Raw genomic sequence first — 25422 nt, forward strand, 5'->3', positions numbered from 1 at the left:
CTCCTAAACTAAAGTAAAACAAACTGTCAGCAAGACTGAAAACTGCAAGCAACCATCAAGAATGGATAGTTTTCCTCCAGTGAGTCCATGCTGGTGGGGGGTCCCACTGCAGGAGCCGCTGCTTTCCTGGGCTGTGTGGGCATATGTGATCAGCTGGCTTATTAGGTTTTGACAATTCCTGTGCATGTCTTCATTATAAGGGTTGAGTTAAGGCCAGAGGAGGTTCTCCACAGCAGGAAATAAACTGGGGACAAGTAAATTCCAGATGCAGAAAGGGAGGGTGTGCTCAAGAAGTTTGACTATAAAGGTGGGGAAATACAGGTGTGTGAGTGTGCACACACACATACCCACACAGGAAAATGCTTGCCTATTTTAAAGTCCACCTGGACGGCTACGAAAGCTGGTACTTTGCCTTCTCAGTGAAAGTCAGGTAGTTACATGGAAAAGAATAGACCCATTTCCTGTTCGGCCACTTAAAGATTCTTTTTCAGTTGAAATACGGTTTACCTTCAATTTTGAGCCAAAAGGTTTTGCAAACCCTGACTGGCTACCACTCTTGTTTCTCTTGTTAGTTTCTCAAAACTACTTTATTAAACCACTCAGGGCAACGAATGGGAGAAGGGCAATGTCTTGGGGAAAAAACAACGACAACAACAAAACTCTCTCATCTTATTTTCTCTCTGACTCTGTCTCCTGAGTCCACTTCAGAGAGAAAATTCAGGGTTCAGGATATTTCAGGGACCAAAGAAATTCTCTGAGCATCAGAAGAGTGGCCCTCTTATTGCATGCATACAAGAGTCAACACACTATGCTAATAGTCAGATTACAGTGTTTGTCTTAAAATAGCAATGATAGCCAGGCTATTTCATGCTTCAGTAAAATATTTAAATTGAAATGACTTTTTTTTTTGCTTTTATGAATCAGACTTGGTTGCATTTTAATAATCCTTTTGCTCTTGGTAACTGGAGTGAAAGCTACACGTTGGGGTGTCTTAAGTAATGACAGGTTTCCATCATCCTGCTGTCGTTGAGTTGCTCTCGTTGACTGAGAGGTTTGGTGACTGAGGACAAGGAAGTTTCTTCTCTGTTTATCCTAATAAATGTTGTTTATTTCAAGCTTCTAGTCAGTTGTGCAGCAGCAATAGTGGGTCTTAAAGCGTGAGATCTTGGCCTTCTTTCATCCTCCTTTTGTGTATTGAGCAACAACTCAAGAAAGTCCAGGCACTGAAATTAAACGTTAAGTTTGCAAAAGCTCCTGAAGCATTTGCTTGATGATGTGGGGAACACTTGTGAGGCAGATCATCCTGCTCATCAACTAGGAACACCCACAAGCACCCTGACTCTGCAGATATCAGAAGCTCTCTCTGATCATTCCACTTATTTAGGGAAAGGTGGGGGTTTGGCATTGGAGTAGAAGAAAGAAGGCAGCTTCTGCAAATGAGGGAATGTCTAGCCAGAATGCTCCAAATAATTTTGCCTGTCACTGTCCCCTACATGAAGTTGGCTTCAGCTTCCAACCCAGGAGCCTGTTCGCGTGCCTAGGATTTGCTGTGACCTGGAGTGGAAAAGGTGCCCTTAATGTCAGTGTATTTTTCCAGAAAATACATTTCAGCCAAGCTAAGAATCCAGGAATGTCACTAGGGAGGAAACAAAGACATCTCTGGAGCCATTTGAAGGTGAAAAATAATTCCATAGGAAGTACAATGGTCTTAATTAAATATTAGCTGTAATTAGCCTAAAGTGCAAATGTTGGGAATATTAATTAGGGTCTCTCTGGAACGGCTGTCAGTGTTAATAAGTAACTGTAGGGGGTCCCACCAACATCTGTTTGAGAACTCCAGGTACAGGATGAAATCTGGAGTCCCATGTTCCTGGATGCTAACTGCAGGCTCCTTGGCTACCATGGACTCAGTCCCTAGAGCATGGTGCTCTGTGTTTGCCAGAATTGCACAACTCATGGTAGAGGTGGGTGGCTTGCTTTGGCACCAGTGGTGCCCCCAGCTGGCCCTTGCCTTTCCTCGGATAGCCTCAAGGCATTTCAAAGTCAGGCGTCAGGCTTGAGGTAGTGCAGAAGTTTCCCAGGCTGCTGCCCCACTCCTTTCGAATGGTCACCCACCCAACCTGGCCATTGGAATTGCTGGCATATTTGAATCAAATACCCTAGTCCCTGGCTTCCTCACAGGGAGTAACACACCAACAGCTAAACACAGGTCCATGGTGTGTGTGATAGAGAGGGAACTGCTTATTTAAAAATGGGAAGTGGACAGGCGCGGTGGCTCATGTCTGTAATCCCAGCACTTTGGGAGGACAAGGCAGATGGATCACTTGAGGCCAGCAGTTCGGGACCAGCCTGGCCAACAGTAAAACGCCGTCTCTACTAAAAATACAAAAAATTAGCCAGTCATCATGGCGGGTGCCTGTAATCCTAGCTACTCAGGAGGCTGAGGCAGGAGAATCACTTGAACCTCGGAGGCGGAGGTTGCAGTGAGCCGAGAGCCTACCATTGCACTCCAGCTTGGGTAACAGGAGCAAAACTCTGTGTCAAAAAAATAAAAATAAAAATAATGAATGAATGAATGAATGAATGAAGTGAACTCCCCACCAGGTGATTCTCTTGCTAGATGAGAAATGCCTTGGTTTAACTCTTGGCTTCCCTAACAACTACCTGTGACTGTGGCCTCGAATAATTATTTCCCAGCTTTGGTCTGCAGCATCTTTGATGACAAGGTAAATTGAGATTAGAGATGCATTGCATGAAAAGTAGGGATTCTGGACCTTGGCACTATTAACATTTGGGGCGGGACAGTCTTTTGTGGTTCAAGGTAGTCGTATACTCTGTAAGATGTTTAGCAGCATTCCTGGCCTCCACCCACTAGATGGCAGTAGCACATCCTCCCTCATTTGTGACAAAACTGTCTCCAGTCATTGCCTAATGTCCTGTGGGGAGCAATCACACCTCTGTAAGAACTACCGGTATGAGGCGCCCAGCACAGTGCCTGCCACCTATTAGGTTTTCTTCTGAGGACCAGTGAGGAGAAGGGGCTGCTTTTCATGGAAGTCTGAGGCCATCATGAACCTTCTGCTCATAAGCCCACTTATGCAGATTTAAAGCCTGTGTGCCTGTGAGTTTACAGGTCAAAGATCTGCGGATGGAAAGTAAATTCCCCAAAAGATTCTGACCCACTGTTTTTGCACCATTTTCAATATTGCCAGTCTCCAAGTCTAGCTATCACCCCTCTTTGGTTTGGAGAGTATACAGGCCCTTTCTCTCTCTTTCTACTTCACTGCCTGCTTTATTTCCTGCCCAAACTACTTATGCAATAATGGCTTCTTAACTGGTGATCCCATATCTAATGACATTCTGCCACAGCTATTAGAAAACATTTTCCACAAAGGACCAGATGATAGATCATTCAGTCTTGGTGGGCTGGGCAGTCTCTGTCACAGCTATCCAACTCTGCCTTTGTAGTACAAAAGCGGCTACAGACAGTAAACAAATGAGCATGGGTGTGTTCCAATAAAACTTTATTTACAAAAACAAAATTTGGGCCAGGTTTGCCTCATGAGTCGTTTGCTAGGTCCTCTCTTCATCCCCCTACCCTATCTCCTGCTGCCAGACTAGGCTTTACAGAGCCCAGAGGTCATTTTTCCAGCACATATTCACTTGGCAAACATTTATAAATGTCCACTTTGCAGCTAGTATGCTGTTGGACCATGGAGATGGGACAGGGAATGTGGCACAGTGTCCTGTTTTCAGGGAGCTCACAGACAAATAATCAGGCTGTGGCAGTGCTTGGTGCTGTGTGAGCTGTGGCCACCAGCTGCAGTGGAGCAGAGGGGATGGGCAACTGACCAGGTTTCAGCATCAAGGAAAGCCTGCTGGAGGAGGGACTCTTGATGCGGACTGAAGGAAGAGTAAGGACTAGTTGGGCAAGGGGGTAGGTGAGGCTTTCCAAGCTGAGGGGCAGTAAATGTGAAGACTTGATGGGGTTGAGAGGATGGAGCTCTTCTCCCTTAACTGACCATAAGCTTCTGGAAGGCATGACCCTTCTCTCTTCAATACAGAGATAGCTCGAAGTCTACAAGGAGCCTTAGCTCTTTTGCAAGAACTAGTAGGAATGGGCCACTTTTCCTGAGCTTGCTCTGCACTGATGAAAAGCCCCAGGGTTATATATGTTCCTGGTGAAAGTATCTTCTGCTGGAGGTGGAGGAGGGAAACCTTTGTCTTCATATGATCATTGTCTGTACCACTGCTTATGTGGTTATTCTGTGCTTCCCTGTAAGAGTTTACACAAGTCTACCTTTCACTTCAGAGATGGGCCAGGTAGAAGGTTGGGGAGGCAGAAACAGATCTTTGAGCAGAAGCTGCCTCTGGCACAGTGAATTTCTCATCAGATGATTCCCAAGATCCCAACATTTCTGGGGCTTTTCATCACCCATAGAGAAGTGGCATCGCTATGAAATTTCTGTACAGAAGGATATGTTCCTTGAACAGCCCAGAAAAAGAAAAGATGCTAGTTTAGTTATAAAACAGCAGAAGTTTTTTTTTTTTTTTAATTAGTCAAGACCCTTTTGGTTGTAAGTAACAGAAAAAGTAGCTTAAAAAATGAGACAAAGGGTACAAAGTGTCAGTTTTGCAAGACAGATACATTCTGGAGATTTAAGTACAGCATGGAAACAAGAGTTAAAAATACTGTATTATATACTGGAAGTGTGCTAAGAGGATAGATCTTAAATTAAATCTCTCCACACACACATACACACACACACACACACACACACAAATGGAGATCATGTAGAAGTGATGGATATGCTAATTACCTGGAATGTGGTCACTTCACAATGTATACATATGTCAAAACATCAAGTTATACACCTTACATGTATAATTTTTATGTTAATGGTATCTTAGTAAAGCTGTTAAAATATGGGACATTTACTGACTTGTGTAACTACAACAAACAGGGATGGTGCTGACTGCGGGTAAAGCTGGATTCAACACTTCAAATGACGTCACTGGGACTCAGTAGAAACCTCTCTGTTCCTCAGTTTCTTCTCTTCATTTTCCTCTAGGTTGGCCTCACGTGTAGGGAGGTCCCCTTCAAGTGGCAGTTCGTTGTTGTTGTTGTTGTTGTTGTTGTTGAGACGGAATCTTGCTCTGTGGCCCAGGCTGGAGTGCAGTGGTGCACTCTCAGCTCACTGCAACTTCCACCTCCCACATTCAAGTGGTTCTCCTGCCTCAGTCTCCGGAGTAGCTAAGATTACAGGCATGTGCCACCATGCCCGGCTAATTTTTGTATTTTTAGTAGAGGCAGGGTTTCACCATGTTGCCCAGTCTGGTCTCGAACTCCTGACCTCAAGTGATCCACCCACCTTGGCCTCCCAAAGTGCTGGAATTACAGGCATGAGGCAACATGCCCACCCTAAGTGTCAGTTCTTGGCAGCTCCAGGCTTATGATGTTTTTACAGCTGCCCATCACCGTGGAAAGAGAACTTCTTCCCCAAAACTACAGCAAAATCCCAGGGTGACTGGGACTCAGTGGTGTGACTAGGGCTTAACGCACTAACGGACTCACTAGATAGATGTGCATGAACGCAAATCCATGGGACTATCTCAGTGGGACCATCTGATTGGCCAGGCTGATGTCCTATGGCTCATCTCGTAGCGACTGGGAGCTGGGTTCAACTGTATCTGCACCATACAGGCTGAAAGTGGGACTGTCCCCCAAAAGGAAACTGGGGCTTTGTTGAAGAAACAGGAGTGGAGACAGACCAGCAGTATCACTGCATGTCTTCTTTGGCTTCCCAAGGATGGACAAGGTTAACTGCTCATGGATAGCAACTCAGCCTCAACATAGGCACACCCTCCATGGCCCCAGTGCTATGGGAAAATGTTAGAAAGAGAAAGAAATGCTCGTGCCCTTTTGTTTCCAGTGGCACAGACATTTGGCGAAATTTGTCTGGAGGAGGGAAGAGCCTGATGGGAATGATTTACTTGTAAAATGTTTAAACTTATCCTAAGCTTAGTTCTCTTCCAAGTGTCATCTTTAACATTCTAATTAAGGTCCCTTCTAAACAAATGCACCAGCTCCGTGTGCTGCTCTGAGAACAAACTTTTTTTTTTTCCTCTCTTCTTTCTGTCATCATGTTTTTGCTGCACTCAAATTGCTTTAGAGAAAGAGGATTTCGGATGTTGGTGGCAAGTACTGAAGAGATAAGGAGAAATTCTGATATTTTTGCCCTAGTATCATTATATGAGGGCCAAAGTCACATCTAATTGACCACAGACAATAGGAGAGGCAGCTATTTGGTGTGCCTAATTGCTAAGTTTTTTTCCTCGCTCTGTCTTTCTGACTGTGTGATCCCATCTCCTGAGACCATGGAAAGTTTAGACCTTTGGGTTACAATTTCTTATGCCGTGTGTGTGTGTGTGTGTGTGTGTGTGTGTGTGTGTGTGTGTGTGTGTGTTGTGGTAGAACTGTGGAGGAGGAGGTAAAGAGAGAGAGCTGTTTCCTGAAATGGAAGCATTTGTATTCAGGTTTTTGTTGTGTGTGTTTTTAAAATTCTTCTGAGTTGGCTGTAATTGTCACACTGCCTGTTTTGCCTAGATCTGAAGAATGAATTGTTATATAATACTCTGTGCTCATAAAAAAATAAGGCAGGGAGGGAGAGGCATTGACTAATGAGACTGAGAGTTAAATCCAATATTTTTCAGAAATGCTTAAAATGGGGATGTCAGAGAGGACAGTCTTTGTCCAAATTAGGCCCTGAATTTGTATCAGCTGCTTCATTTTGGCACTGGGGACATCATACACGCATACACACACACAGACACACACACACACACACACACAACATAACACACAACCACACAGACACTGGGACCATTAAAAGGATACTCCCTATTCCCATTATGTGAGCCAAGTCACATAAAACTTTGATTAAATTCAAATGCTTACATAAATTGTCTCTCCTCTCAAGAACACACACGTTCAATTTAGTCTCTCTTGGCACTTTAAGTATCAAATCAAGGTTCTGCTGTCACTGCAGACAACTAAATGCTCACAGCTTCCAAAATGGGAATGAAATAAAAAGGATCTGCCAAAAAAAAAAAAAAATCAATCTAGTAAAGCCACAGACCCTCATGTCTTTGAATATTAGGCTGGGTGGCTTGGAAAAAGCGACTTTATCTTTATCTTTCCAAGCCTCGGTTTCTGCATCTGTAAAATGGGGAGAAGTGATGGTTACTGTTTCCTTATAGGGTCTGGTGAAGATGACCTGAGATTGGTCCATCTCAGGCTGGTGGCACCATGGTGACCCCTAGAAAGTACGCGGGGCACGATCGTCCTGGGATCTGGGAGGAAGGTTTCTGCATGGTGGCTCCTCATGACGTTCTCTCCCTCTCTGCACCTTTTTGATTTTTCAGGGTAATCAGGAAGCAGCCGCTGCCCCTGACACAATGGCTCAGCCTTACGCTTCGGCCCAGTTTGCTCCCCCGCAGAACGGTATCCCCGCGGAATACACGGCCCCTCATCCCCACCCCGCGCCAGAGTACACAGGCCAGACCACGGTTCCCGAGCACACATTAAACCTGTACCCTCCCGCCCAGACGCACTCCGAGCAGAGCCCGGCGGACACGAGCGCTCAGACCGTCTCTGGCACCGCCACAGTAAGTGGACGTGTTTGCTACGGGTGGGAGGTTATGGGGAGGCGCCCCCAGCCCTGGTAATGGCAGCGGGGGTGCACCCCCATCTACCCAGGGACTCTGGGAAACAGATCAGTCCCTAAGCCCACCCTCATCATACCAGCTTCCTGAAGTTTACCTCATTTCCATGCATTCATTCTTAGCGTTCATTTAAATCAACGGATTATTAATTAATTTCATTTATTTGTAAAGGGGCACATTTATCAATTTTCTATTCCTATAGTTTTGCCTTTCTAGAATGTCATCCCAATGAAATCTCATTTTTTTGGAAAAAAAAAATTTGATGTAAGATAATTTTTCTTCAAGTCTTACGGAGGCTGGGTGTGGTGGCTCATGCCTGTGATCCCAGCACTTTGGGAGGCCGAGATGGGAGAGTCGTTTGAAGACAGGAGTTCGAGAATAGCCTGGGCAACAAAGTGAGACCTCATCTCTACAAGAAATTTAAAATTTAGCTGAGTGTCATGGTGCATGCCTGTAGTCCCAGCTACTTGGGAGACTGAGGTGGGAGGATGGCTTGGGGCCAGGAGTTTGAGGCTGCAGTGAGCTAAGATTGCTCCACTGAACTCCAGCCTAGGTCACAGAGTGAAACTCTGTCTCTAAATAAACAAAAATAAAGTCTTTGTGGAATTATAATTTACATACCTTAAAATTAGTATATTTTTAGGTGTACAGTTCACTGATTTTTAGCATATTTACGGAGTTGTGCGATGATTGCCGGATGCATCTAATTTCGGAACATTTCCATCAGCCTAAATACAAATCTTGTGCCCCTTTGCAGCCACTCCTCATTCATACCTCAGAGCTCTGAACCTCGCTTCTTTACCTTAGCCTAATACATTTGAGATTCATCCAGGTTGCGGTGTTTGTCCCTGGTTTCTTCATTTTTATTGCTGGACCAAAGGGCAGGGGCTAGAAAGAGGCAGGGTGAGAGAATTTTGATGAATAAGGGAACTGTCCTGTATCTTAATGGTGACGGTTACATGACTTTATACGCCATAAAGAGTAAATTTTATTGCGTACAAATGATGAAATGGATTAGAAACAGGCATGTAAACAGAAACATTTTATCATCACTGTAAATGAAAACTGGTGTTTTGATCATTAATCAAATATAACTCTAAATGAAAATATTTATCATAAAATTAAATAATGTTCATTTGTGTGCCACCTAAAGTAATCATGCATACCACAAAACCTGTATGGAACATGCATTTGGGAACCTTTTTCTGCAGAATTCTTTAGAAGCTTGGGAACCCCAATCCTGTCGTCTGGAACATTTTTTGAGTGTAAGGCAATTCTGCCTCTTCGTCCTGTCCCAAGACCTCAGGAAAGCAAGTATTTGTGAAGGAGTTTATGGCTTTGAAGCATGATACATTTCCTGTGATAAAAGAAAACACTGACTAACTTTGCTACTTGCCACCTCATTCATTTGGAGGCTAGTTTTGACGTTTTGTTTTTGTTTTTGTTTTTGTTTTTTTGAGATGGGGTCTCACTCTGTTGCCCAGGCTGGAGTGCGGTGGCGCGATCTCGGCTCACTGCAAGCTCCACCTCCCAGGTTCACGCCATTCTCCTGCCTCAGTCTCCCGAGTAGCTGGGACTACAGGCACCCGCCACCATGTCCGGCTAATTTTTTGTATTTTTGGTAGAGACGGGATTTCACTGTGTTATCCAGGATGATCTCAATCTCCTGACCTCGCGATCTGCCTGTCTCGGCCTCCCAAAGTGCTGGGATTACAGGCGTGAGCCACCGCGCCCGGCCTAGTTTTGAAGATTTTTTAAAAAAATGGTATACATTCTGAAATTTTTAGTTGCCTTCCTCCCTTTTTAATTTATTGTGGTAAAATACATATAACATAAAACTTAACCATTTTAATCCTGTACACATTTCAATAGCATTCAGTGTATTCACAATGTAGTGCAAAACCACCACCATTATCTAGTTTGAGAATGTTCCTAGCACCCCAAAAGGAAACCCCATACCCACTAAGCAGACACTCCCCATTCTCCCTCTCCCCGGCCCCTGGCAACCACCAATCTGCCTTGGAGATAGCTTTTTGTGTCTGGCTTCTTTCTCTTAACACGATGTTGTCTAGGTTCATTCATGTGGAGTACCCCACTGTATGGATAGACCGTGTTTATTTATTCATTAGTCCATTGATGGATATTTGGGTTGTCTCCACATTCTGGTTCTTCTGAACACTCCTGCTGCCGACTTTTTTGTATTTAGTTGCTGTGCCTTAGGCATGGGCCTTTTAAATGAGTTTGCTGGTTCAGCAGGTGTTTGTTGCTTTTGCGCTGACTACCAGGTAGTAGTGATGGGGATGTTGTTTACTGTTTGTTGGCTATTTTGTGACAATTAATAGTAGTAATGCCTGGATAGGTTATTTTCAGATTTTGAAAAAAGATCCAATCAGACATTATTTATTAAGCTAACTGCTGTGGAAATTTTACGTATTCATTTATTTATTCACAAATATTTATTAAGCTTCTATTAGGGCCAGGATTCATACTAGCTGCCATGGTTGAACAAAACAAAATGATCTTTACCTCTTGTAACTTAGTATGAGAGGCAGAAACTGAGCATGTGGCAAATAGCATGTGTGATAGATGTCTTAAGGAAAATATGGGTACCGTAGGAAAATTAAAAAAGAACAGAGGTGCTACCTGCAAACGTGTAGTCTGAGAGCATTTCTTCAAGGAGATGATGCTTAAGGTGGTAAGACAAAGCAGCCCAGGCAGAGGGAATACCACAGTCAGAGGTCTTAAAGTTGGAAAGATCTGGGCTCACTCAAAGTCCTAAGAAGAGGCCAGTATGTTTTGGGCATGATGAAGGGGATTTGGAGGTGATGTGGCAAAAGATGAACCGGGAGGAATTAGCAGGGATTTGACATCCTACAGACCTGGTGGGTCCAATAAGGAGTTGAAATTCCACGTTATAAGCAATGGGAAACCATTAAAAAGAGTTTAAGCCAGAAGAGTTATGAAATGAGACATAAAAAGAAAGGGTTAGTGATGCCTAGCTTAAAGGAAATTTAATCTAGTTGGGGAGCTGAGATGCTCCACATCTTTGCCCTGCAAAAAGAACACTTTAGAGATCAACACAATTGAATTTAAATAGCGTGTTGGGTGTCCACAGTGCCCCAGGCACTGCAGCAAGATAATCTGATGTGCAGACAAGCTCTCTTTCCTTGGAGAGCCTTAGGAGAATATAGGATTTGTTTTCTGTTAATTATGATAACGTGCCAAATTCTAGCATATAGATTTTCACAGGTTTTATCTATCATAATGACAGTAGGAGAAAACATTTTCAAAATCATAGTCAGAGGGTTATACCTTTCAGAGACTTCTGGTTACAGGAAAGAGAAAACTCAGTAGGAAGCATGTTGGCCCATACAATAAAAAGTCCAGGCGGAGGGTGGACACAGCCTGGTTTTTGGAACGTGTCCATCAGCTTCTAATGGGAAACCATCCTGAGTTGGCTTCCTCGTCCTCACCTCAGCTCTCTGGCTCTGTCCTGCAAGTTCAGGCTCCAGTCACCACCTGTGAAAAGCTCTTGGATTCATCCCATATAAGCCCTCTCGTGGGAATCAATCTCCATTCCTGGCTTGTGTGGTGTTATCTTCATTCAGTGGCTGAGGCTGGTACTGAGTGTCCCAGCCCTGGGGTCACTGAGGAGCTTCATATCCAAATACATGGAATGAAGACCATTTCATCAGAGTTCATGATGAGATGCCTTCAGAATAAATCATTAAAGAAACGAAGTAGACAGAATCTTGTCCGAGCTAAAGGTAGCATGGTGAACCTTTTGTACAAAGAAGCTTGAATTGGTGTTAATCAAGAGTAGGGAGTGAAGAGAAAGACAAGGACAGAACATTGGAGAGCTCACGGGGTGGGGTTTGAAGGAAGAGGAACTATTGAGTAAGACATCAATGGGATGTTCAGATTGGGCATTCAACCAGTTGAATGTTGGGCTATACAGCCTGGAGGGTATAAACTGAGAAGACATTATTGAAGTGACAGTTTGGATGTCTTTAAAGACCTAGAAGACAATAGTTTTGCTAGAGTAGTGGAGAGAGATGCAGAAGGGACAAGAGTTGAGGAATAACTGTGATATGTTGGAGTGGGTGGGCATTGCCCGTTATAAATATTTGGAGTGATGAGGAGAAAGAAGAGATTGCATCTGAGAAGCAAAGAAGTCAGAGAAAGCAGTTGGTAGGATAGTTGATTTAGATTCAACTAATTTATGCCAACAAGGTCCCTACGTGGGGCACAAAAGACAGGAAGCAAGAGATAGGGAATAATGGTGCAGGAAAGAAAGTGATGAAGTGTTTTATAGGCGATAAGAAGGAATAGGATCAAGAGTATTCAGAAATAGTAGGTAGTCTAGGAAAAAAGAAACCACTTTTTAACAGCTTTGTTGACATACAATAAACTGTATATATTTAAAGTATACACTTTGATACATTTTTACAAATGTACCTGCATGCACAACCATTACTGCTATCCAGATAATGAATCTGTCCATTATCTCAAAGTCTTTTCTTGCTCTTTTTTGATCCTCCCCTCCTCCTCCTTGCCTCATCCCCAGGGAACCAGTGGGTCTGCTTCTTTTGCTATAGCTTAATTTGCAGTTTCTAGAATTTTATATCAGTAACCTCAAACATTATGTGCTCTCTTTGTCTGGCTTCTTTTACTCAGTATCATTATTTTTAGATTCATCCATATTGTTGCATGTGGTTGTAGCTCCTTCCTTTTCATTGCTGAGTACTGTTTCTGCATGGATATGCCACAGTTTATTTCTCCATTTACCTACACATGGGCATTTGGGTTGTTTTTCATTTTGGGTAATGGAGAAATAAATCTGCTGACATTTGGAAGTACTTCAATTTTGAAACAGAAGAGAAGGAAGGGTGAATGTGTGAGGATGCAGAGAAATTTTCAAGTCAAGAGATAATGTGAGGAGTTCCATCTACATTGCCTTCATTTTTTCCATGAATGGAGGCAGCATCATCAAAGGAAGGATTCCTGAACTTGGGCAAACATGTCAGAAATCTGCCTTAGATAATTCCTAGAGTATTTGAATGGCAATGGATGCCCGAATTTGGAGAATGTAAATGTATGGTGGACCGGTTAGCTGTCTACTCTGTCTTCTCCAGCAATGTTTGGATGGTACACACTCTTAGAGGTAGGATTTTAAAGGAAAGACAGCCATTAGGGGCTGAAGCAGGTGGGCTTTGGGGCTGATCCTGAAGGAAGTTTTAAGACTTATATTCTGAACTGGTATTGGGTAAGTGCGGGAATCATAAAGGGGCTGTCTCGTTTTTTGTTACAAACAATTACATCTGTATACTCATCTCTCTTTGGCCAAAAAGGAGATGTGACTTTTCAGTTATCCTTTCCTGATCTACACCAGCAGAACGTGGTCTATGACAAGTTTACTTCAAATTGTCTCTGCCTCCTCCTACATTTATGGGGTGTACCTTGTCTTCACTCCAGGTTCTGAATTTCCTGTGGAACGAATTTAACCTCAAAGTGGGTCAGAACTATGGTTCTCCCCACCCTATATCCATGACCCTGTATTTGCACAAAAAGTTACTATTGTGAGATACCTAGGTCATTCCCCATAGGATAGTGCTGTACCTGGAATAGCTCTAACTCTTCTTTGACATATGTATCCACGATGCTTAATATCATTCTAAGGACATCGTAGAGGCCATTATTTCTTTGAGAAACTAAGTACTTTTGGGTAAGAGAAACCAGCCATCCATCTGGTGGCCTCCAAGAACATCTAATATATGCACATGATTTAACACAAAGTGCAGAATCTGTAAAAGGGAAGGAGGATGCACCCAGAGCTCCCAACCAGAGCTCAGTAAAATGCAGACAGAAAAGACTTACCAGGTCATCCTTTTAGTTCCCCACAGGCTGAGATGAGTCCCTGCAGGCCTTTTTTTCTGCTGAATTTCTATTTCATGTAGGCCTCCAAACATATCACGGATCACATTGCTGACAGAGCCAATACTGTATTATGTTAGATACTGTTCCTGACAAGGTATTTTACTCTTGACATATTATCATTAGAGATTTGCAAGTGGTGAATTCTCCATGTATCTCCAACAGCAACTTAACTTCTATTTTTAACGCTTCTGCAGTCTGTTGAAACGGCTCCCACCACTTTCCCACTAGCTCTAGGCCCTGATTGGAGAAGGAATGTGGGTGCCCCAGCTAGGTTCCTGAGCTGGAGGCTCTACTGACAGGGAAAAGAACTATTTAGAGAGCCAGGTTCTTCTTTGGCCTCAGCCGCTTCCCACTGAAGTGTTAACTGCGCCTCCAAATTTCCTTAATACTTTTAGGAAGATAAGGTATTGGTTGGTGATGGTGTCCTGTTCTTAACCCTTTCCATGCCAGTTCTGATTTTGAAGCTGATGGAATCACTAAGGTATAGGAAAAACTTGTTCAGGGCATTCCTTTTGACTAACTAGCTATTATTATTATCATCATCAAAGCAATTCAGGCTTGGGGTTTAAAAAGCCAGACATTGGAAAAGGATATAAAATGAAAACTAACATGTCCTAATACCCACAACCCAAATTCTTAGTCTCTGTGCCAGAAATGAGTTACTAATACCTTATATTTCCTTCCAGAAGTGTTTTATGCAAATGCAAGCATATGCCTGCTTGTCCTCTATCTCTATCTTTATCTCCCTCTATCTCTATCATCTGTCTCTAATTCAATCTTTATATCTTATAAGTACTCACTATTTCCATTCTCAAAATTACAGAATTGAAATCTAAACACCTACTTTGGCACCTGCTTTATATCTCAGAGATTATTCTGTATCATATTTAGGGGTTCAGTCATTATTTTGTGTGTGTGTGTGTGTGCATTTTTATGTACAGAAGTATCCTAATGATGGAATTTAGGTTGTCTCTGGGTTTAATCTTGCACTGTTGATATTTACCATCAGGCTACAGTACAGAGCTAGGTACAAAGATTGCTCTCCATCTCTGTTTGCCTCTGGGTGTGAATGGCTAAAAGGTACATGGACTTAAGATGTGGACATTGATCAATTACCCTACAGAGAGCTTGCACCGATTTGCACCCTCATGGACAGAACCTAAGAAGGCCTGACACCCACACCCTTGCCCAACCCAATGTGCTAGCCAACTCTTGGCTCATGTCCCTGCGGACTCTGTGTGTTTGGGTGTGGCTTTCCCCCTCTCTGACAAAAGAAAGTACTTTTAGAATTGTTGGGTGTCCTGGAGAAGAAAAATTGAGGTGTGCTGCCATTGCTTGAGGCCTCCTGTGGTCCAAAGATCATGCTAGGCCCTCTTTTGGTCGCCATCTTGTTTTGTTACATCAACCTTTTGAATGCTGTTAGAATCCCACCAATAAAGGGAGAAAGAGGTTGAAGATGTTTTGAGTTGGGAATGGTGCAGTTGAGGTCGTCACCCACATCTTGTCTGCCTGATGTTAAAGTCCAGGCTGTTTCCCCAGTCTCCAGCTGTCTTCTAAAATAGGGGTACCCAACTCCCAGGCCACAGATCAGTACTGGTCTGTAGCCTGTTGGGAACTGAGCTGCACAGCAAAAGGTGAGTGGTGGATGAGTGAGCATTACCACTTTAGCTCTGCCTCCTGTCAGATCAACAATGGCATTAGATTCTCAGAGAAGCGTGAACCCTATTGTGAACTGTACATGCGAGGGATCTAGATTGTGTGCTCCTTATGAGAATCTAATGCTTGATTATCTGAGGTGCAACCATTTCATCCTGAAACCATCCTCCCTGCCCCACTGTGTCCATGGAAAAATTGTCTTCCACAAAACTGGTACCAAAAATTTTGGGGACTGCTGCCCTAGAGGATCTCTTGACCAATGGCTTAGAATTCTCATGAAGATTGGTTTCTTCGTGGCTGCCCTCTAGCTTAGACAAACAGGTCAGTTAAGGCCTGGCCTCTGGACTTGACAAGATTTGACCCTCCATTCTGCTTACAAGCGGAAGGAGCTCAAGCTGACCATTGAACCTCTCTGCTCTTATTTTTTCTATAACTCCCTTCCTCAGCTGTGACCCTTCTCCAGATCTCCTCCCTTTTTTCTTCTAAACAACTATCAGACGATGGATTACAGAACAACAGAGTTCTTTTCCTTTGAGGAGGGTTTACGCCTCATGTACTTACATTGAAAGTTTGGCAAAATAATTGAAGGTTGCCGTCTAAAAATAGGGTGAATAGTTACATCGAAATGAGAATCAGGAAAAAGTCTCAAAAATCATAACTTTTGCTCATTGACTGTCAGACTATATTTTAAGCACTTTCCATGCACAATCTCAACTAATCTTGGCCCTCCCCACCACGTATGAAGTGTTATCGTCCCATGTTACAGAAGCAGAATCTAAGGCAAATCACTTACTGAAGGTCACTGTGGCTGAGAAGCAGGAGTCAGAGCTCAAAAACAGGCATGTCAGACCAAAATTCTTAAGGGCTGGAAGCCCAGAAGGCATCCCCCAGGCATGCCCAGCCACACTGGCCTCTTTTCTAAATAGGTTGCTGTTGCAGAAAGGAATTACTCATTTCACCCTGGGGAGGGCCCCAGCAGACCCAAGCCTGTGCAACATTACAGACTTCGAGTGTGCTCTTGTTTGAGACCTGCGCCTTGAGCAAACTCCAATAACATGTTTCGGTGGCTTCAAAATTGTCTTTTCGGATGACAGTGTGACTGAGCTGTTTTGTCAATACCAGTTCTATTTTCCTAAAATTCACATTTAATTTGAAGACATGGGTACTGTCTCTTGTTTCCTTAGGAGCCTGAGCACTATGCTTCTCACTCCCATGTATTCTCTGCAATACATGGCCCTTGGCTTTCAGGATAAACTAAAGACCTTTATTACCCAATACTGTGCCTGTTTTATTATTTTAAAGACCCTGGTCATCAAAAACTGTCTAGTCCTGGAGAGCCAAAATGAATGATTTATCCCAACTTAGGATAACTTGGCCAGGAACAGGATATCTCTGAGCATCAAAGACCCATGTGTTTGACGTTCTTTTTTGGACTGGGGTTTCAGCCTCGGATTTTGGCAGAATTGGAGGTTGTTATGACAGGTGAAAAAAAATGGCGTTGGTTAAATATCTTTAGATATTATCGGGAGAAGCAGAGTAGAATCTAGGTACAGAGCTTGACATTTTCATTCCCATTCTGTCTGACCCAGAGTGGGACCATAGGCACGTTACATAACTTCTCTGAGCCTGTTCTTTTTTATATGTGAGGCTTAGAGTTGTTGTGAAATCCTAATACAGTAATGTCTATGAAGGTCTTAGCACAATGACAAACACATAGTAAACATTCTACCAGATCGACCATCCTAATTATGAAATAATTACAGTACCCATAATGAGAAATCAGAGCGGTCTCCTTGGTTCCGAGTTCTTCATTAAAAATGTTTTATCCAGGAGAATACATTCATCATAAGAATTGTGAAATTTCCCGTTTCAAGTGCCAAACTAAAACTCCAATTCCGAGATTTATTTTAAAGGTAATTTTGTATTTAATGATTTATAGACAAATGGTTTTCAATCACTCATGTTTTAGTACAAACTATCAGTACAAGCTGTTCTTGGTCTAAGTCTAGGTCGTGGGCAAACAAAGTGAGATTCATTAGAGAAGGAAATGACTGAAGTTTTGTTTTTAAGACCCAAGGACATCTTGCTTTTGCTAAATGAGGAATGCTCAGGCATATTCTAAGGGTTTGATTTAATGTTTCCTTAGGGGGCTTCACTGGCTTATTTCCATTGCAAATATTAGAGCCATCTGACAAGTTTCATCGTGACTTTGTCCTCATTTGGTGCTTTGTGCTTATTCACACCTGTATTTATTGTCATCAGTTTACCCACTCAGGATGACTAAGCAGTCTCTATCTTTATTTTTGGTTAGGTCCTTCAAACACCCAAATCCATCCTTTCTGTAGCTCATAGAGACTGCTAGACAAAGGACTGATGTAAGTGTTTGAAGGACCTAATTCCCTCTGCATAGCTGATTGCCCCATTAAGCAATTTTATTTTATTTATTTATTTATGTGAGAGAGGGGTCTCACTCCATCACCCAGGCTGGAGTGCTATGGCACCATCTTAGTTCACTGCAGCCTGAAACTCCTGGGGCTCCAGTGATCCTCCTGCCTCAATAGCAGGGTACTGAGCTCAGTAGCTCAGTACTGCCTCCTGAGTAGCTGGGACTACAGGTGTTTTCCAGTGAACTTAGAAATAGGCATTAATCTATTTTGTGGGCAGTATTTGGGTCATGCATTAGTCAACAGTCATTTTATGCCCTTAATTCATGGTCATATAGTCTTTAGGTGCATAGTAAGTTCCTATGAATTCCATGCAATTTTTGAATTCAAGGCTGGAAAAAGAAGTTGGCTATTCTCTGTTGACAGAAGTTTCAGGAATGGCTCAGCCAGAACCTTGCAATGCTAGAGCTGGGAGAGCCAAAGAGTTCATCTACGCTATCTTCTCGTTGCACATATTTAAAAAGATCACATAAGTTATGGGTTGGAAACGGAAGGCCAGGCACAGTGGCTCACATCTGTAATCCCAGCACTTTGGGAGGCCAAAGCAGATGGATCACTTGAGGCCAGTGATTCAAGACCAGCCTGGTCAACATGGTGAAACCCTGTCTCGACACAAAAAGTACAAAAATTAGCCAGGCGTGGTGGCGGGCACTTGTCATCCCCACTGCTCGGGAGGCTGAGGCAGAAGAATTGCTTGAACCTGGGAGGCGGAGCTTACAGTGAGCTGAGATCATGCCACCACACTCCACCCTGAGTGACAGAATCAGACTCTGTCTCAAAAACAACAACAACAAGAAGAAAAAGAAAACTCAAATACTTTCACATCCAGGCAAGTAACATCCATGCTTAGAGAGATTAACTTATGTTGGAGACATTGGCAAAATAAATTTTTAGTTTTCTCCATTAAGGTAGGCATTACAAAATTACAAGCGTGATGGTATGCAACCCTTTGGTGGGGACCCTGTAGTAATTTAGCAAACAAATTTCCTGTCCACAGGATGTGGTCCCTATCCATCCATCCAATCATTGCTATTTTGGATTGTTAAACCACTATTATAATTTCATTGACATATTTCCACTGCAAATGTTTAGATTTCTTTCTTCTTAAGAATAGCAGCAATTTTTATTTTTCTGGGTTCTCCTGTTCACTACTATTTTATTCATTTTTGTTATCTGTCCAGCCTCTGAAGATACTGAATTTACAACTTCTGACTTAATCTTGGAAACTCAAGAGGTGAATTTAGGCTGGGCATGGTAGCTCACGCATGTAATCCCAGCACTTTGGGAGGCTGAGACGGGCAGATCACTTGAGGTCAGGAGTTCGAGACCAGCCTAGTCAACCTAGTGAAACCCCGTCTCTCCTAAAAATACAAAAATTAGCCAGGCATGGTGGCGGGCACCTGTAATCCCAGCTACTTGGGAGGCGGAGGCAGGAGAATCACTTGAATGCAGGAGGCGGAGGTTGCAGTGAGCTGAGATCATGCCACTGCACTCTAGCCTGGAAAACAGAGTCAGACTCCATCTCAAAAAAAAAAAAAAAAGTGAATTTAGGAACCTGAACCCTTTAAGGGAGACTGTATTTCAGGTTCATAAAAGAGACAGCTTGGATGCTTCAGTGTGACAGTGCAGAGATTCATAGAATGTTAGAGCTTGAGATGACTATCTTATCTTCCTGCTTCATTTACGAATGATGCTCAGGTTCAGAGACAGAAAGTGACCTGCCTGAGTCACACAGTGAGTATCACAGCAGAACCCAATGTAAGGATGTCCTAAGAGAAAACTCCCACTGTACCATGCCCTTCCTCTGTCCATCTCCTGGATTCTACAGCCATTTTTAAAATACACATACCCGGGGTTATCTCTGCATTGAAATAGACAAAGTCCCAATGACACTGCCTTTAGAAGCACGCTGAGCTGTACACTGTAAGTCTCTGTTTCTCTTTGCTATCCTATTTTGGTTCCTAGCCAGAGGTTTCAGCCACAAGTGGGCCTTATTCTCACAAAGACTTCCAGACTTCTTAAAAAAAAAAAAAAAGTCTTCATTTTATCTAGTTCTCTCCTGCTGCTCCTGGTGGTTGTATCAATGGGTCTGTGTGAATTCAGCAATGTCATGCGTTCCTGCCAGCTCCAGTCCCAATCATTACTTCTGGGTCAGGACACTAACCAGGGGGTCTGGGTTTCTTCCTTTGTATCCCCGAAGAATGTGGAGCCTGCCAAATTGTCAAATTATAGCATTTGATGTAGAGCTAGGTCCAAGTGACTGTACAATCTCTGCAGGAGTTCAGAAGCTGGCTTCTGCCCCTGGTAGAAACATAACCAGACTCTCAAGAGACAGTAAGCCAGACAGTCTGGAGATCCAGGGAGATGCTCATGGGTTCTCTGGCTTCTGGGCCATGGGGAGAAAGTCATCACCACCCAGAAAATAAGCCTTCACCCTGACAGCAGCAGCAGAATGTACCTGGGCTTGAGGACCTGACTTGCATGCCATCTCAGTGTCCTTAGGACAGAAGTTCCACGGGCAAGTTCTTTCAGCAGTAAACCAAGGTTTTCAGCCTGTACCACTCAAAACAAACCAGACCATCAGGACCAGTTAATGTGAAGGCTTAAATGTTGCAGATTTGTTTTGAAAGTGAAAAGGCAATTTTCTTGTAAAAATAAAAAAAAATATGTAGAGTTGCAAATCATACAATCCAAACAATATGGGCTGCCCTGATCTTTTAAAAGGGAGAAATGTAAATGCCCATTCTGATTGTCAGATGAGGAACATCAAATAGAAACTTCTTGGGCTGAAAGGAAGTTACAAAAGAGGAAGCAGCGATCATTTATGGATAACGTATGGTAATGATCACTAGCATTTAGTGAGCTCATACTGGGTACCCAGTGGAAATGGTACTACCAGCTTTCTGTGGACAATCAGATTGAATTTTTACAGCATCCAGAAGAGGCAGGGACTATAATTAACCCCTTATGGCCTAGATGAGAAAACCAGAACATAGAGAAATCAAGGATGTTGCCCAAGGTCACAAGGCTGATAAGGGCAGAGATGGGATTCAAAGGCAGCCACGGTCCACTGTCTTACCCAGTCCATGCTGGGGTCTTCCATGAGCCATGCACTATGTTGTGTATTTCATTGACATAACTCATCAAGAAATAGGTGTGATCATACCACGATTACGGATGAGGGAACTGAGGCACAGGTATGAAGCAAATGTAAACATAGGCCTGGCAGATTCCAAAACCCATTTTGTGTGATTACCCCGTTAGTAGTTTATTTTACCTAAATGACATTCCCTGCTAACTATTTCAATTATGATAATATCATTACAGGCAAATATCTTAACAATCCTGCAAGTCTGTAGAGCTCTCAACTCCCTCAATTTATACAACTAAACCCACACACATCCTTCCCATCCCTAACCCATCCCCTTCCCCAGTGGCATCCAGTGGCCCCATAGAGTGAAAGAGGCCTTCATACCATTTGGCAAGCTCACAAGAGGAAGCCTGGATTTCCCAGAGAAACTTGCTACAAGGAAATTGCTATAATTATAACCCAAATTGTATTTGACTTCTGCATTTTTGCTTTATATTGTTACACTATAATTTAAATAGATTGTTCTCTGGCCTTTTTTAGGGGGAGAAACTAGCTACCTTTTTTTTTTTTTTCACTAAGAAAAGCAACGGTAGGTGTAGCATTCCAATGACAGGAGGTGGGTTTCGTCCCCCCTCTTCCCTCTAATTGGCTTGCAAGTGGGAGTTGGGTTAGCAGTTATGCCGGGAGTTGCCTGGGGTTCCAGGCGGTGACATTCATCTGGTGGCTCCACAAAAGGGGAAGAGACAACAGTGGGTGGCGCCAGCTTCGGGGAGATGAGCCCCAGAGAGTTTCTGTGACTCCAGAAGGCAGATGTTGGGGACGAGGGGAGATAGGGTATATTAATCATTGGATTTGGGAATTTTTCCTCTTTTGAGACATTGAAGCTCTTGACAGAGAAGACCAGAGGGGACCTAGGAAAAGGGAGGACGTGAGTTGGATGCGCACCCTGGAATACAGGGCGTTGGCCATCTTTCTCCTTGCCTAGTCTAGCTGTGGATGGGGCCCAGAGCCCCTTAGCAGCTCTTCCTTTTCTCTCTTCTCTCCAGCCTTCTCCAGGCTTTTAACATCAGCAGAAGTAGCAAGGCTAGGAGTTGGCAAACTGTAGCTCGTGGGCCGATTCCTGCCTGCGATGTTTTTGTCAATAAAGTTTTATTGGAACACAGTCACACTAACTGGTTCACATATTGCCTATGGCTGCTTTTGCATGATGACAGCAACTTTGAGTAATTGTGACAGAGCTCGATGGCCCACAGAGCCAAAATTATGCTTATTGTTTGACCCTCAACAGAAAAAGTTTGGCAACCCCCGATCTAGGCCAAAGTGTACATATTGTTGGCCTGCTGGCTGCATTCAGGCATCGGGCCATTTTATTGGACTCACATTAATTAATTGCCTGCATTGTAAAATGGAAGTTTTCACAAAATAAGCTGGCTTTGATTAAAAAATGGAAAAATCTAACAAAACATGGCAGCTAATGTTGGGGATGTGTCATCCGTCCCCTCTGACTATTTGTCATAGTCGCCAGCACTGCCTGTAGGGTTTTACCAAGTGTACCCTTTTACCTGCATGGACTGGTCCTCATAGGCACTTGAGTATGATACTCTTTCAGGTCGTCTGGGTTGTTTTTAATAAAAGATTTGGTATTTCTTACTGGACTGATGAATTACATTTTAAAAATTCTTTCCATCAAACTGGACTTCCCTGTGGAACTCCAGAAAGAAAATGAAAAATGTGTTTGTGTAATGCCAGAATTTAGTGACTGCCAGAGTTGTTATATCAGAAATACAACATTTTCTTCCACCTTGAAACACCCATACACATACACACAGCCCTGCATTTTTTAAAAAAAAAATCCTTTAAAATTGAGACCTATGTCACTGCAGATGCTTCTTGACTTATGATGGGGCTATGTCCCAATAAATCCATCACAAGTTGAAAATGCATTTAATACACTTCCCCTACTGAACATCATCACTTAGCCTAGCACAACTTAAAGATACACAGAACACTTGTATGAGCCTACAGATGGGCAAAATCATCTAACACAAAGCCTCTTTTATACTGAAGTGTCAAATATCTCATGCACTTTATTATGTACTGTACTGAAAGGAAAAACAGAATGGTTGTATGGGCACTCAAAGCATGATTTCTACTGAATGTGTATTGTTTCCACATCATTAAGTTGAAATATCGTAAGTTAGGAATCATCTGTACTGACCTTGATTTAAACAAAAGCAGGATTAGTAAATACTACATTCTTCTTCAGTCAAAGAATGAGTTTCTCAGTTGTTATTATTAATAGAGCAAGTAATAATGGTGTTGGGCAATATATTAATGATTTAAGTCAATTAATTCTAAAACCAATGGTGGGCGATGTTACCTCATTTTAAAGATAAGGAAAAGAGACTCTAAACGGTTGTGTAAATTGTTCCAAATAGTGGCACCAGGAAGTGATAGACATGGAACTCAGATCCAGCCCTGATTCATGTCAAAGGTCCCAACGTTTTTTTTCTTTTTTTTTTTTTTTTGGACATGCAGTTTCACTCTTGTTGCCCAGGCTGGAGTGCAGTGGCTCGATCTCGGCTCACTGCAGCCTCCACCTCCCAGGTTCAGGCGATTCTCCTGCCTCAGCCTCCTGAATAGCTGGGATTACAGGCACCCATCACCACACCCAGTTAATTTTTTTTTTTGTATTTTTAGTAGAGATGGGGTTTCACCATGTTAGCCAGGCTGGTCTCGAACTCCTGGCCTCAGGTGATCCGCCCGTCTCAGCCTACCAAAGTGCTGGGATTACAGGCATGAACCACAGTGCACGGCCACCACAGCAACTCTTTAAACACTGAGGACACACAATAGAGCCAATGATTAACTAAAATAGGCAACTGATGCCTTTCTCTGAAGCTTACGTGTAGAATACGGTAAGCCCCAGGATAACTTCCCCTGTAGCTAGAATAACTGATCCCAGGAAGAGCCCCTGGAAGCCCGATTCGATCCACTGAAAGTCAGTTTTGGGTAAAGTCGTTAGTGCGTCTTCTGTTGTTCTCAGCAAATCTTCAGACAATTTTTTCACCAGGCTCAGCAGAGGGAGAACTAAGTCTAATGTATTTAGCCGGGGGAATGACAGGTTTCCTTTTCACAGTAAGGGTTCCTAGGATAGGAGACTATCCACTCGTAGCAGAAGAAAATCCTAATGAGCAGGATCCAGGTTTTAGGGGGCCCTTAATTCTAACACACAGTTCACCCTGGGCTGCTCAAACGTCTTGACTTGCCCCGCTATGTGTGTGTGTGGCTTTAGGAAGCCCTGCGATTTTCCTTCTTTAGCTCGAATGTCAAGCGCTGCAGGCTTTCTGAGAATTCAGTGTCCTGACACTGGGGCTGAGCCCTTGGTAATGACACTGTAGACACGAGGTAATTACAGCTCTGTTAACTCCCAAGTCAGGCTAAGTGGACCTCTGATTATTATTCTGAGTATAATAGGAGCATAACTAACATTGAAGGGAAATTGTACTTCTCTCTTTTATTAACCGCTTTTATATTCCCTTGTGCATGGCTATGATGCTATGAAATCTCCTTAAATGTGATATTCCTCAATATAATACAATAATAATGCACACACCGTAATGTATTGGATTACTTTGCAAACAGCCCTTATGAAATTGCATTTCCCATCATTTCCCTGGGCCAGCTCAGGGCTGCTGGGCTTACGGGCCCTTTCTGTAGCTGGGAGCCTGGAATCTGCCTTCACGGTCACTTAGGGTTTCATGGATGTGAGCAATTGGTCCACACCATTTTTATTCACAGCGAGGATGTTGGCCAACCAAGTTTCCAGACATCTCGCTGGACATTGCGACTCAGAGATGCAAACAGTGTTTGATACCTCAGCATAGTTTGAAAATAAACTGGGCTAGATGGTGTCAGGAAGGAAGCTAGATACAGGGAAGGGAGGCCTTCCATGCTGGAATTAAATTGTGAAGTCTTTTCCACTGACTTTGCTGGAGAGTCTATCAGATCTTTGTTCCTTTGTAAACTCTTTCCTGACACCACCTCAAAACTAGAGTTGGTTCTTCCTTTGTATGTTTTATATGTTTTGAAAATCCACCCTTAGTTTGGCATCCCAAAATACTTACTGAACTCCTACTATGTATCACACATACATTAATCTACTAAATACACATGAACAATTTTACAACCACTTAAAATTTAATATTTGGCATAAAGCTATAAACTTTTTGAGGGTACCACTGTGCCTTATTCATCACTTTTATTCTCAGTGTTAGGCAAAGTGCCTGGAACAAAGTAGATACTCAATAATTGTGTATTGTTCATTTATTCCTGAATATTTCTTGGGTTCTTACTATTTGAGAGGCGCAGAACTGGGCCTTGGAGATACAAGAGTGAATAAGACAGACATAGCTTCTCCTTCAAGGAATGTACAGTCTACCGTAACACAGAATACACACACACGTCACTCACACAGTTGAATGCAGCCAGCCATCTGTATCCACCAGGTTCGACATCCCATGGAAATAAGAAAACACTGTTTCTTCCATCTGCAATTGGTTGAATCTG

General features: G+C 43.0%; 1 protein-coding gene across 52 annotated transcripts in view; it reads left to right on the forward strand.

The window, feature by feature from the left end:
• Positions 1-25422, forward strand: part of RBFOX1 (RNA binding fox-1 homolog 1) — a 2473620-nt gene that overhangs the window by 2271001 nt on the left and 177197 nt on the right. For all 52 annotated transcript variants that reach the window (NM_001415887.1, NM_001415888.1, XM_017023318.3 and 49 more), the window contains one exon: positions 7426-7668. In NM_001415887.1, coding sequence (NP_001402816.1) covers positions 7426-7668 — 243 coding nt within the window. The remainder of the gene's footprint in view (positions 1-7425; positions 7669-25422) is intronic.

This window comes from Homo sapiens, chromosome 16 (genome assembly GCF_000001405.40).
Source record: "Homo sapiens chromosome 16, GRCh38.p14 Primary Assembly".
Lineage (NCBI taxonomy): Eukaryota > Metazoa > Chordata > Mammalia > Primates > Hominidae > Homo > Homo sapiens.